Source organism: Homo sapiens, chromosome 15 (assembly GCF_000001405.40).
Source record: "Homo sapiens chromosome 15, GRCh38.p14 Primary Assembly".
Taxonomy (NCBI): domain Eukaryota; kingdom Metazoa; phylum Chordata; class Mammalia; order Primates; family Hominidae; genus Homo; species Homo sapiens.
In genome coordinates this window covers 77178362-77192630 of record NC_000015.10, presented here as the reverse complement: position 1 = coordinate 77192630, position 14269 = coordinate 77178362, and the positions used below count along the sequence as shown (strand labels likewise).

The 14269-nt window shown below is 39.7% G+C and overlaps 1 protein-coding gene across 35 annotated transcripts in view, besides 3 other annotated features; it reads left to right on the top strand.

Annotated features, from left to right (window-relative positions):
• PEAK1 (pseudopodium enriched atypical kinase 1) overlaps positions 1–14269 on the top strand; it is a 320261-nt gene that overhangs the window by 228284 nt on the left and 77708 nt on the right. For 34 of the 35 annotated variants that reach the window (XM_047433077.1, XM_047433076.1, XM_047433057.1 and 31 more), the window contains one exon: positions 10591–13841. In XM_047433077.1, the coding sequence (XP_047289033.1) occupies positions 10705–13841 (3137 nt within the window). In that variant the 5' untranslated portion in view covers positions 10591–10704. Of the gene's footprint in view, positions 1–9861; positions 10229–10590; positions 13842–14269 lie in introns of those variants that run through there. The other variant, XM_005254675.5, reaches the window with a different exon arrangement.
• Positions 4667–4886: an enhancer, noted in NCBI's record as "active region_9893". NCBI's record gives its function as "activates an Ori minimal core promoter by ATAC-STARR-seq in GM12878 lymphoblastoid cells {active_cell/tissue: GM12878}" and the evidence as "EXISTENCE:reporter gene assay evidence [ECO:0000049][PMID:35858748]".
• Positions 10706–10795: an enhancer, noted in NCBI's record as "active region_9892". NCBI's record gives its function as "activates an Ori minimal core promoter by ATAC-STARR-seq in GM12878 lymphoblastoid cells {active_cell/tissue: GM12878}" and the evidence as "EXISTENCE:reporter gene assay evidence [ECO:0000049][PMID:35858748]".
• Positions 12637–12776: an enhancer, noted in NCBI's record as "active region_9891". NCBI's record gives its function as "activates an Ori minimal core promoter by ATAC-STARR-seq in GM12878 lymphoblastoid cells {active_cell/tissue: GM12878}" and the evidence as "EXISTENCE:reporter gene assay evidence [ECO:0000049][PMID:35858748]".

The window sequence follows — 14269 nt, the reverse complement described above, 5'->3', positions numbered from 1 at the left end:
CATTCCACCTCTCACTTTCCACTGGGAGGTGTTTGGGCTCACTTTAGTAGTCCAGTGATACAAACCACAGGTAGATATCTCACTGATGAGGAGAATTAAGACCCAGCATATTTTTATTGGGGGATAGTTTAGTTTTTCCTCTGTCAGACTGCGGTCTCCTTGTATATTAATATCCAGTAACTCCCCAGAGTCTGAGCTTCTGCTGTTTTCTTGAGAACAGTCCTGTGGAAACCTATTGTCATGTGCTCATGCACATCTGGAGTTCTCGAATGCCCTGGCCACAGTTCCCATCCTTCATGGTCCATCACTGGCCTCATCACTTCAGTTACTAAACCCAAGTCTCATTTTTCTAACTTTATTCTGTAATAAAATAAAACTAACTAAAGAATTGTCACTTTGCCTTTTTCATTTTCTCTCTCATCCACCTCAGCATCCTGCATCTTCTTTACTGCTCTCACTAAACCACTTGCAGTCAAGGTTTAGAGTCAAGTTTACATAAGTAAATAGTAATTAAAGATCTGGATATTTCTCAATGGGAAGAATTTTAAATCACACATTTTGTTTTAGAATGTGTTTGTTATTTCCATTCGGACATCATCTGTCTCATGATTTTCTACAGTTAAAGTAGTGCAGTTGGTGCTAGCTTGATTGTCCACATTTCAGTATATCTCTGGGAAACTGATCCTGGGTTTTGATCTATACAGACCACAGGGTCATCTTTAGTCACTCTTATTATCCCACTGGTTGATAAAAATTATCAATTTAGCCTCTCACATCAGCCCCTGCTTGTTAATTCCCACTGCCACTATATTAGTTTGGGGCCTTCTCTGGACTAGTATTATACTAGTTGAAACAACTACATTACCTTTCACCTTGCCTCCTGTCAATATATTCTTTCCATTTCCACCTGAATTCTTAAAGCACAATAGTATCACATTACCTTATTGCTCAGCAACTCCTTCCTGATAGAATCTGACAGCATCTCTTGAAATTGATGCAAAACACAAGTCCAAGATGGAATGCTAAAGTTTCCTTGCAAGTCACTTGCTCAGAACTTGGAGTATGTTTTCCCTGTAGAAGCAATAAGTCTTAAACAGGTTTACAAGGCAGCTAAAACTTTCAATTAAATCATCCATGATAACTGAAGTCTAACCTAAGCATAGTTAACAGTGTTCCCATTGAAATAGCTTCCCAAGTGCCCAATTGGTATGTCAAGATGGGGTGTGGATATGTGTGGAGGAGATTAGAGGGATCATACCCCTTCCTGGCCTCCGCTGGATGTAGAAATTTAATAAAAGGAGAAAATAACTAATATTTATTAAGTGCTTACTATGAATCAGCCTTCGAGTTAGGCATTTTATATATTTTATCTTAATTCATTTTCATAAGAGCTTTGTTTGACGGTAGTTATTATACTCCTTTAACAGATTCTTAGCAAATTAGTAATGTGAATAAGATCACAAGAGGAATGCTTACCTGACATAAGAGATTATTGTTTTTAAGCACTACTTTTCAAACTTTGGTAATTTATAGACCTCCTTTTAACTGAAAAAAATAACTGTGCTCTGTCAGTGTTGACGTACATTATTATAATTTTACTTAAATACAAAAAACATAAAGTTAGGTATAAATTCTTTATGCTTATAGTTGTCATTTAGCTATAAAACAAATTTGAAAGTTAAGTACAAAAAAACCCTGCAAAACTAATGAAATGCAAATTAACAGCAATTTAATATAATAGATGAAGTTTTGCTGAAACTAAATTGCTGCTTACTGTGTGGGTAAGGAGCTGCCAGCCACCCTAGTTTTCTTTGCAGTTTTCATTACCATTGGCTGTCTTCTTATGCCACATTTCTTTCTACGGTATTGAAAATTCAAGATTGGTACAATACACAGTGGTTGCACCATGATGTCATTTTGGTCTTTACTTGGTAGAACTGTATCATCTACATATTAAGTGAGCCTTTCTTTTCTCATTATTTCTTACAGTTAAAGTAGTGTGCTTGGTGTCAGCTCATATTAGAAACAGAAAGGTATTTGTAGTCCTGGAAATTATATTGCTGTGCTTAGTTAATATGGCCATTGCAATGATCCTGCCTGTGTTTACATTAGTTTATTTTAGATGTAAACTTTACTTTCAGTTTAATATTCAGCTCTTTTGGAGAACTCATAGACCCTTGAAAACACATCCCAGATTCCAGTGTGAGAAGTATTCTTTGACTGCATTTTAAGTTATGTATTTACAACCATTAAGAAAATAATTCCAACTTATTTATTAGAACAGGTCCAAATATCTGCACTAGGAAAGACTAGTTTATTATGGTATTTCCTCAAAAGCAATAAATCTATACTTCTTCAAAGTATTGTGTAATTCAGACTTTCATTAATTTAGAAGTACTTTTTCCCTTTAAAAGTCTAAATTATAAATGTTTTACAGTATGTATTGTTCACTCTTTTCTATAGCTGGGAAAGGTAAAATTTCTTTTAATTGGAAAAATAATGCCTCCTGCCAAACATAAAGTAACACAAGACAATAAAGCCTCCAAAAATGAGTGAAGAGTGGTAGAAAATGACATTGCTCACTCTGATTATGTGGCTATAAACATTCAAGCAGGATTTTTCTTAGAATCATTAACTATTTTCTTATTTCTCCTTCCTTCCCAATTTCCTTTTTCCCACCTTCTCTTATTTGAATTTTGCTCTGCCCTTATTTAGTCTCTTTCTTATTCCCTGTCTTCTCACATCTCAATCAGCTGTGACTCCCTAATTTAGCCTGCAGTCCAGCTTTCTTCACTTGGCAGTTGGCTCTGAGGTTGAGGGCAATGGAGAAGAGGAACAGAGCAAGGTGACTGATAGCAACATCTCACCAACTCACTCTCAACCAGCCACTTCAGTGGCCCCTCCAAATCAGAGTGGTTCCTGACTTGGAGAGCTGGATGAAAGATCATGCTTAATTTGCCTCGTAATATTACTTCCTCAACACTCTGAAACACAAAAAACACAACTTTGAGACAGCCTACTAGCTAAGTTTATGCCTGTTTGTTTCCTTCTGGCTTATTCTGCAGTGAGCACCTGGACTGATCATCTTAGAGCTGAGGAGGGGAAGGTGTGGGTGTGCCTATTTCTTACACTTCTTCATTCATGGTGGAATTCCACTATGGTGGACAGTGCTGCTGCTGCTGCTGCTGCTGTGTGGACTGTCTTTCAGACACTGCCATGTTTATGTTTAAAGCAGCCTCCAGATGCCATGAAGCTATACCATTTATGCATGCATACGTGCATGCATGCATTCATCCTGGCTCTGCCATTTACTAGCTATGTGACCTTGGGCAAGTTTCAGTTTCTTCATCAGTAAAGTAGGGCAAATAATAGTATGTCTATCATAGAGTTTTGTGAGAATTATGAGGTGTTTGTTTTGTTTTGTTTTTTTGAGATAGAGTCTCGCTCTGTTGCCTAGGCTGGAGTGCAGTGGCGCGATCTCGGCTCACTGCAACCTCCCCCTCCCAGGTTCAAGTGATTCTCCTGCCTCAGCTTTCTGAGTAGCTGGGACTACAGGCGCGCACCACCACGCCTGGCTAATTTTTGTATTTTTAGTATGGACAGAGTTTCACCATGTTGGCCAGGCTGGTCTCAAACTCCTGACTTCAGGTGATCTGCCCGCCTTGGCCTCCCAAAATGTAGTGTTGGGATTACAGGCTTGAGCCACCGCACCTGGCCGAATTATGAGTTTTTATGGGTAAAGGGCCTGGTACTTAGTAGTAAATGCTAACTAGAATTATTCTTGAGTGAAAACATTTATTTAGTATCCAATGTATTCCAAACAATTCAAGAGATATAGAGAGGAAAAACACTTAGACCTGCCTTCTGGGGACTTACATAATTACAAAACAATGTGGTATAATCGAGTTAGGCAAAACTTCATCACAGAGGTAAAATTTAAACTGCATCTTGAAGGATAAATAGGGTTTCAACAAATGGAACAGCATTAGAGGAAATACATTCCAAGCAGAAGAAAAAGCTTGTGAATAAAATAAAACTATAAAAGACTATGGAGTCTTGGCTGTTATTAGATAATACTTTAACTTCTTCTCTGATGTATACCTTCTTAAATAGGGGTCTAAAGTGGTTTCAGGGAACATTTTGGAACTTCTAATCTTATAACTAGTTATTACCAAGTTTATAATAATTATTATTAGTAGTAGTTAACTGATTCGTCAAAGAGTTTGAATTTAAAAATTAGTTGGAACTGAGCGGTGCTGCTTTGCAGGGGTGCATTTGTTGTTACATGATTCTTATCCTGAGATGACTACCATGTGACAGGAGCAGTGAACTGTTAGAAAAACTGTTGTGGTTAGAACAATTGGAACTGGATGGGCTTCTGGAGATTTCATTAAGTTTCCAAAATTAAGCAGATTTTACTTTGGTTTCTTCTTTAGATAGGAGAACCTCATGTTCTTGTGATAGCAAGGAATGATAATTTTTTTTTTCAGTCAGATCTCAAGAAAGTCCCTTTTACTCATGGAATTTCCATTTGTGTACCAAATTTAAGCTGTGTTTTATCTTCTGCAAAACTTCTTCCTGCAGCTTTGCTTTCACTTCCTCTCCCCACCCTTTTAGTCATATACTGAAGAGTTTGGCAGCTGGTTGAGGTGTCAGGTCAGCATTTTTCACTGTGGAAGAAGGAAAGGTTGGGAACAGTGACGTGGGTATGGTTGTCACATTTTCCTTTCCTTTTTTTTAAGTGACCCACATGTTCTTTAACAAAAGCCTAGTGAGAACCTTGACTTGTAAATTGTTCCCTAGCATCCTGGAGATGGACTAATATGTGGGATGACATATAGGCAATAGATCCTCACTGAGAGTGTCCTTAAAAGCCCACGTACAGCAGTGAGGATTCTTGACTCTGCCTCCATGGCAATGTGACAGATTTTATGGAGAGAGATGGTGGGCTTCGGGAGTCACAGAATTGGAGGAGCTTAGCAGTTCATTCTCCATCCTCCTTTATTATTAACAGATTCTCCTTGGGTGCCTTTAGGAAATGCTGTATATATGGTGTTTAATCTCCCACCTACACACTTTCCTTTTCTTCACTAATGGAAATTGAATCCAGCTTGAGGAGCTCCAGCTCTTTCTGCTGGCCAGTTTATTTCAAGATTGAAATCCATTGTGGATTTGTTTGTTGTTTTTTTGTATTTTTGTGGGGTTTTTTTTTGGTATCAAATCTGCCTGAAACTGTTGGACTAGAAGCAAACTAATTATTGTCATTGTATGGCAGTAGAGAGAATAAAAAACAGTAATAGGTTCTTAAAAAGCTGTCATGACTTGAAGTGAAATAGGCCACTCTTGAATAGCTTAATCTATAGCCTGAAGGGCTTTGGTCCTGAAAACTGTCAAATATGAAATAGGATTTTAGATCATGGAATCCTGGCTACCTCCTAGGGGCAGCTTCAGCCATTAAACTCTCCCATAGACTATTTCATCTAGAAGATTTGCTTTGAGATTATAAGGAATGTGGAGGTAAATGAGCTTTTCTTATCAAACATTCCATTTGGGTGCTCTGTATCAGACCTGTTCTGGCAAATAAATAGAAGACACCAGGATAGACTGTTTTATTTCCTTGTGTAAGTGCCTCAGGAGACACATTTCTTATTTCTCAAGCATAACTTTGGAGACTGGAGTTTCCCATTTGGGGAGCGTTGGTGTTGAGCAGGGAAAGCTGCTAGTTATTGATTGCCACTGAAGTCATTTCACAAAGGCTGTAAAACCCAAGGATTGCTCTTTGGACAGACCTGCATCTGGTACAGATTCCCCCTCTATGAGACTGTTGTAGGTTAAAATAGTTTTGACAGTGTCTTTAAGTGCACCTCTTTGTCTCCAAATATAATTAGTGTTTAAAATGAAGCCCTCGTGGTTAAGGTTTTGTGGCTTAGACAGCAGCTCCATCTGGTGCTTGCTAAAGGTGTTTGCCTGGTTCATGTCTCGGTTTTTTTGTTTTTTGTTTTTTATTATTATACTTTAAGTTTTAGGGTACATGTGCACAATGTGCAGGTTTGTTACATATGTATAAGTGTCTCGGTTTTAAACCAGATGAATACAGATGGACACAAACTTGTAAACGAATGTCATATGCAACATGGGTTCCTAGTGCACACAACACTGACATAAGCAAATGGTGTTCCTGGTGAGTCTCATTTGGCTATTCTGTTGATAAGTGATAGCTGTTAATCAGCTTAGCCATCTTTTGACTGAATTAACTTACTTTTACTCAAAGTGGGGAATTATTTTTACTATTATCTACTAGTCTTTGAAAAAGCAAATATATTGTACTACTTACAAAGAGAAAACTTAATCCCACTCTTATCAGAGTCTGTTTAACTTGGTTAACAAGATATTATGCCAAGATGCCTTATTCTTTTTTGTATTCAGTGCTGCATAGTGCTAAGTACACAGGGAATTTTTTAATTTAAATTCTTGGTGACTGACAGGAACTGCCCCCAAACTGTTAATAAAAGTTACTTCTGAATAATAAGTTTACATATGGTTTCTATTTTCTTTATGCTTTTCTGAGTTTCCACAGTGAGCATATACAACAAAAGAAAAAAACATCTACCAAAAAAGGTAAAAACAAAACATATTGTAGGTAGTTGTAGCCTTGAGTCCCAGTTCTGGGTCTTTCTTATTTACTGTGTGTCCTTAGGAAAGTCACTGTCTCTTCTAGGCTTCGATTCCTTTGTCCATAAAACACAGTTGAATTAGAAACCTGCACAGTTTTAACATTCTAAGTATTGTGATTCTTTCCTCTTTCCTGTTTTTTCAGCCTCTCACCCTGGCCTGTATCTTTCCCCAATATTACCATTCAACATTATCTAGGTTTTCCCATCTTAAAATAAGGAAATCCTTTCTGGACCCCCATCCTCCTAGCTCCTTCTTGCTTCTCCTTCCTGCCTACTCTTCTCCAAAAGTTATCTACCATTGCTCTATTATCTCACTCTTCAACTCACTGCAGTCTGGTTTCCATCCCCACCACTGAACCAAATAGTTCATGCTAAGGTCACAGATGAGCTCATGTTGCCAAGTCCAATGGGCATGTATGTAAGTCCTCATTTTCCGTTACCTCTCAGCAGCATTTGAAATAGTTATTGTCTTTCTCCTTCATGACATTTCCTCATCTGGCTTCTGTGTCATCACACCTTGGCTGTTAGTTTTCAGTTAGGGGAGAGGAAGTAGCCCCTTCTCCCTGGTTCACCCACCAAGGCCACCTCCTCAGCTCACTATTTTCTTTTCGGCCTAAATATCTCTATACTAGTAATTCCTAAGCAGAGGAGAACCACAGAATTCTCATCCATGTTTCAGACTCCTAAATTCATATACTGTCTTGTATGCAGGGTGACAAAATATGGACTCATAGTCTTCCCTTCAAAAGTTGCACCTCCTCCAATGTTGTCATCTCAGTAAATGGCTCCATAATCATTTGAATACATAAACCTAAAACCTCAATACTTTTTACTCTTCAAAATCCAGTCATTCCTGCATCTTTCTCTGCCTTCCCTGACACCACATCCTAATCCAGATCCTCATCAGATCTTAGTTTGCCTATGTCAGTCTTTTAAGCCTCCTGTCCTGTTCTTCCCGAGTCCATTTTCTACATAGCAGCAGAGCTGTCTTTTTAAAGTCAGGTTTATTGAAGGTAAATTTACATGTAGTAAAATTCACTTTTTTTAAGTGCGTAGTTCTATGAGTTGTTTGTTTGTCTTAGACTGTGGTGCAGTGGCACAATGCAACCTCGGCTCACTGCAACCTCCGCCACCCAGGTTCAAGCAATTCTCATGCCTCAGCCTCCTGAGTAGCTAAGATTACGGGCATACACCACCATGCCTGGCTAATTTTTGTATTTTTGGTAGAGACAGGATTTCACCATGTTGGCCAGGCTAGTCTCAAACTCCTGGCCTCAAGTGATCCACCCGCCTCAGCCTCCCACAGTGCTGGGATTACAGGCATGAGCTACCGCGCCCAGCCTACCTGCCGGTTCTGTGAGTTTTGACAAATGTATGCAGTTATGTAACCACTGCCACCTAACATTTAGATTGTTTCCAGCTTTTGGCTGTAAACCTTTGTGTATTGGTTTTAGTGTAAACAAAAGTTTTTATTTATCTTGGGTAAATACCTAGGAGTGGGATTGCTGGGCTCCAAGGTAAGTTTATGATTAACTCTATAAGAAACTGCAAAACTGTTTTTCAGAATACCTGAACCATTTACATTCCCACCAGCAATATATGAGTTTCAATTGCTTCACATCCTCGCTAGCATCAGTTGTTTTTGTTTTAATTTTATTTTAACCATTCTAATAAATGTGTAGTGGTAGCACATTGTAGTTTTAATTTGCACTTCCATGTGGCTAATTATATTTACAATATTATAAATTTTATTTACTACAATATTATAAATATTGTAAATTATATTTACAATTTTTATATTGTTTAAATGCAATCCATGTATCTTTGGCTGGGCACAGTGTCTCATGCCTGTAATCTCAACATTTTGGGGAGGCCGAGGCAGCTGGGTCCCTTGAGCCCAAGAGTTTGAGACCACCCTGGACAACATGGAGAAACCCCATCTCTATAAAAAAAATAGAAAAATTAGCCAGGCATAGTGGCATGTGCCCATAGTCCCAGCTACTCCAGAGGCTGAGGTGAGAGGCTTGATTGAGCCAGGGAGGTTGAGGCTGCAGTGAGCTGTGATCATACCACTACACACCAGACTGGGTGACAGAGTGAGATCCTGTCTCAAAAAAAAAGATCAAAAATCATATATATTTGGTTAAGTGTCTGCTCAAATCTTTTACCTGTTTTTTATTGGGTTTTTCTTTTTGTTGAGTTTTGAAAGTTCTTTATATATTCCAAATACAAAGTCCTTTGTCAGATATGAATGTTTCACATAATTTCTCCTACTCTGGGGTTTGTCTTCATTCTCTTGTCATTTTTTTTTTGGCAAATGTTTTTGATAAAAGGCAAAATATATTTAGGTACAATATTTTATAACAGAGGTTTGCTAGTGAGAAGAATGAAATTCCATTTTGGGGAGGATAACATTGTGCTTGATGGGGGTTCAAAGTTAGTACTTCCTCTCATCAAAATTGATTACAAATGTTCATCTATTAATTCATATCTGTAATGAAATTTTACGTATTTCATAATTTTATTTTATAATTTTATGTATTATCTTTGAAAAATGTAATTTCACACAGCTGATAGATGCACCAGTGGAAATCCTGCAATTTGTAGAGTGCCACAAAGCAGTAAAAGTGAAGCATACAGTCTGTGTGTCACACATTTCATAGCTACTCATCTCTCCATTGTAGCACAGAAGCCACCATAGGCAAATGAGTATGTAAACAAATGAGTGTGACTGGCGTTCCAATGGAGCTTTATTTGTGGGTACTGAATTTAGAATTTCATATAATTTTCACTTGTTGCAGAACATTATTCTCGTTTTGATTTGTTTCCAACCATTTAAAAACATAAAAAGCATCCTTAACCTTGGGATACAAAAACAGGAATAAGCTACATTTGGCCTCTGGGCTATAATTTGCTTACCTTTCCCCCTTCTTCCCCCCTTCATCTATCAGTGTTTTATAGTTTTGCTCATATAGATTCTAGATTTTACACATATTTTGTTGGACTTATATACGTAAGAATTTCATGGGTTTTGGTCAGAGCTGTCTTTTTAAAATGCAAATTGGATTATGTTGTTTCCCCTATTCAAGACCCTTCAGTGGCTTCCCACTGCTCTTAGGATAAACTCTATAATCTTTAAAAGCCTAAAAGGCCTTGCATGATCTGGCCCCTGGTCTCCTTTTCAGCCTTTTTTTTTTTTTTTTTTTTGAGACAAGGTCTCACTCTGTCACCCAGGCTGAAGTACTGTGGCACAATCTGCTCACTGCAACCTCCACCTCCCAGGCTCAAACAATCCTCCTGCCTCAGCTTCCTGAGTATCTGGAACTATAGGTGTGTGCTACCACACCCAGCTAATTTTTATATTTTTTTTAGAGATGGGATTTTATCATGTTAGCCAGGCTGGTCTTGAACTCCTGGGCTCAAGGGATCTTCCCACCTTGGCCTGCCTCCCAACATGCTGAGATTACAGGCATGAGCCACTGCACCCAGCCCCGAAGCTTCATTTTCAATGCATTGAGTTTGAGGAGTCTACGAAATGTCTAAAACATTCAAGGGTAGGTGGAAGAAGAGGAATCTATAATGGGCTGGGAAGTGTTAGAGAAATTGGTGGATAACAGAAGGAGTGGTATCAAAGGCATTTCTGGGAGGGAAGGTCACAGAATCATTGCAACAGAGACATCAAGCTGAAGATTATGTATGGATAGATAAGAGTGCATAAAATTATAGTTAAAAAGCTCACTTTCCAAATGCTGATTGGCTAAAGGGAAATTACAAAGTACACAAATTAGTTTAGCTCTCAGTCTTTTAATTTAAGGAAAAGTTTAGGAATGGAGTCAGTTTTTTCAAGTCACTAATAATGGTAAGTCTCATAGTGCCTTTTTCATTCAGATTTTTTGTCTTCTTTTCCCCTCCACAGATTGATCATTCTTAGAAGAGCTGCTGTAACACATAGGGGAAGTGAAAACTAACAGATGAAAGTTTTGTCATGCACTGAAAGAAAAGCATTGTCTGTGAAGTTCTATTTTTAAAAATGTCTGCTTGTAACACCTTTACTGAACATGTTTGGAAACCTGGTGAATGCAAGAATTGCTTTAAACCTAAAAGTTTGCACCAGCTTCCCCCAGACCCTGAGAAGGCACCCATCACCCATGGCAATGTGAAAACTAATGCCAATCACAGTAACAACCACCGCATCAGGAACACGGGCAATTTCCGGCCTCCTGTGGCTAAAAAACCCACTATAGCTGTGAAGCCCACTATGATAGTGGCAGATGGGCAAAGTATATGTGGTGAGCTTAGCATCCAAGAACACTGTGAGAACAAACCTGTCATCATAGGGTGGAACCGAAACAGAGCTGCCTTGAGTCAGAAACCACTTAACAATAATAATGAAGATGATGAAGGAATTAGCCATGTTCCTAAGCCTTATGGCAATAATGATAGTGCAAAGAAGATGTCAGATAACAATAATGGACTAACTGAAGTGTTAAAGGAGATAGCAGGCTTGGATACTGCCCCTCAGATAAGAGGAAATGAAACAAACTCCAGAGAAACATTCTTGGGAAGAATAAATGATTGCTATAAACGATCATTGGAAAGAAAGCTTCCACCAAGTTGCATGATAGGTGGGATAAAGGAAACTCAGGGCAAGCATGTTATTCTGAGTGGGAGCACAGAAGTGATTAGTAATGAAGGGGGCCGGTTCTGTTACCCAGAGTTTTCCAGTGGCGAGGAGAGTGAAGAGGATGTACTTTTCAGTAACATGGAGGAGGAGCACGAGAGTTGGGATGAGAGTGATGAAGAGCTGTTGGCCATGGAGATTCGCATGAGAGGGCAACCTCGCTTTGCCAACTTCAGAGCAAACACATTGTCTCCTGTTCGATTCTTTGTGGACAAAAAATGGAATACCATCCCCCTGCGAAACAAGTCTCTGCAGAGAATCTGTGCTGTGGACTATGATGACAGCTATGATGAAATCCTGAATGGTTATGAGGAAAATTCTGTGGTCTCTTATGGACAAGGAAGCATTCAGAGCATGGTGTCATCTGACTCCACATCACCAGATTCTTCTTTAACAGAAGAATCACGTTCTGAGACAGCCAGTAGTTTATCCCAGAAGATTTGTAATGGGGGATTATCTCCTGGTAACCCAGGAGATTCTAAGGACATGAAGGAAATTGAGCCCAATTATGAAAGTCCCTCTAGTAATAATCAGGATAAAGATTCATCACAGGCTTCCAAAAGCTCAATAAAAGTTCCAGAGACCCACAAAGCAGTCCTTGCTCTCCGATTAGAAGAGAAAGATGGCAAGATTGCTGTACAAACTGAGAAGGAAGAAAGTAAAGCCTCTACAGATGTTGCTGGGCAAGCAGTAACCATAAACCTTGTCCCCACAGAAGAGCAAGCAAAACCTTACCGAGTTGTGAACCTGGAACAGCCATTGTGCAAGCCATATACTGTCGTGGATGTGTCAGCAGCCATGGCCAGTGAGCACCTCGAGGGCCCTGTTAACAGCCCCAAGACAAAAAGCTCATCCTCTACTCCAAACTCTCCAGTTACATCATCTTCATTGACACCAGGACAAATAAGTGCCCATTTCCAAAAATCCAGTGCAATTCGATACCAAGAAGTATGGACTTCTAGCACCAGTCCACGACAAAAGATACCTAAAGTAGAACTAATTACTAGTGGAACTGGACCAAATGTTCCTCCAAGGAAAAACTGTCACAAATCAGCACCTACATCACCCACAGCTACAAACATTTCCTCCAAAACCATCCCTGTTAAGTCACCTAATTTGTCTGAAATTAAATTTAATAGTTATAACAATGCTGGTATGCCACCTTTTCCAATTATCATTCATGACGAGCCAACTTATGCTCGGAGTTCCAAAAATGCTATCAAAGTTCCCATTGTTATCAATCCAAATGCATATGACAATCTAGCTATCTACAAAAGTTTTCTGGGAACAAGTGGAGAACTCTCAGTGAAGGAAAAAACCACAAGTGTAATAAGCCATACTTATGAAGAAATAGAAACAGAAAGCAAAGTGCCTGATAACACCACTAGCAAAACCACTGACTGTCTTCAAACTAAAGGGTTTTCAAACAGCACAGAGCATAAAAGGGGCTCAGTGGCTCAGAAGGTTCAAGAGTTTAACAACTGTCTCAACAGAGGTCAGTCTTCACCACAGAGAAGCTATAGTTCCAGCCACAGCTCCCCAGCAAAGATCCAGAGAGCCACTCAAGAGCCTGTGGCCAAAATAGAAGGCACTCAGGAGTCTCAGATGGTGGGCAGCAGCAGCACCAGAGAGAAAGCAAGCACAGTGCTTTCTCAGATTGTGGCTTCAATCCAACCCCCACAGTCTCCTCCAGAAACACCTCAATCTGGCCCTAAAGCTTGCAGTGTGGAAGAGCTTTATGCCATTCCTCCAGATGCTGATGTTGCTAAGAGCACACCTAAGAGTACGCCAGTCCGGCCCAAATCTCTCTTTACATCTCAGCCTAGTGGTGAGGCTGAAGCACCTCAGACCACAGACAGTCCTACCACCAAAGTACAGAAAGACCCATCCATAAAGCCAGTCACCCCCTCTCCCTCCAAATTAGTGACTAGCCCCCAAAGTGAGCCACCAGCTCCCTTTCCCCCGCCACGCTCTACTTCTTCTCCTTACCATGCAGGTAACCTTTTGCAGAGGCATTTCACCAACTGGACCAAGCCAACCAGCCCTACCAGGTCAACAGAAGCTGAATCAGTTTTGCACTCTGAAGGCAGCAGGCGGGCAGCTGATGCAAAACCTAAGCGCTGGATATCATTTAAAAGCTTCTTCCGCCGTCGGAAAACAGATGAGGAGGATGACAAAGAGAAAGAGCGAGAGAAAGGGAAACTGGTGGGCCTGGATGGCACAGTCATTCACATGCTGCCTCCTCCTCCAGTTCAGCGCCATCACTGGTTCACAGAGGCGAAAGGAGAGTCCAGTGAGAAACCAGCCATTGTCTTCATGTACAGGTGCGACCCTGCTCAAGGCCAGCTCAGTGTGGATCAGAGCAAGGCTAGGACAGACCAGGCAGCAGTCATGGAGAAGGGTAGAGCAGAGAATGCATTACTACAGGACTCAGAGAAGAAGAGGAGTCATTCTTCTCCATCACAGATTCCTAAAAAGATTCTCAGGTATGTAAAATAGACTGGAAGAATATGGGAATTTTTTAACACATTTTCAGGTGCTAAGTTTTTTATATCTTTTAAGATTGCATAAGAACCATTTCTGTTTGTAAGTAGCACTCTGTGGCCATCATCTATCTTTATAACTGCATTCCAAGATTAGAATAGTATTAAAGTGATCTTACTGCACTGAACAAGGTTTATAGCCCTGGATCTTTGGCTTAAGTAGCCTACTGCATTCTGGTGAATGCAGAGGAACTTTAGCATAGAAAAGCAAATCCATAACACCTTAATAGCAATAAATAATGTGTTGTTTTGGAATGTGATGGTAGTGTGAGGAAGAAACAGGATCAAATGAATAAATGGTGGTACTGTTCTTTCCCTCACTGTAAATGAAATAAAGCTCTTCCAGCAATTCTTTTTGTTTTTTATGAAGG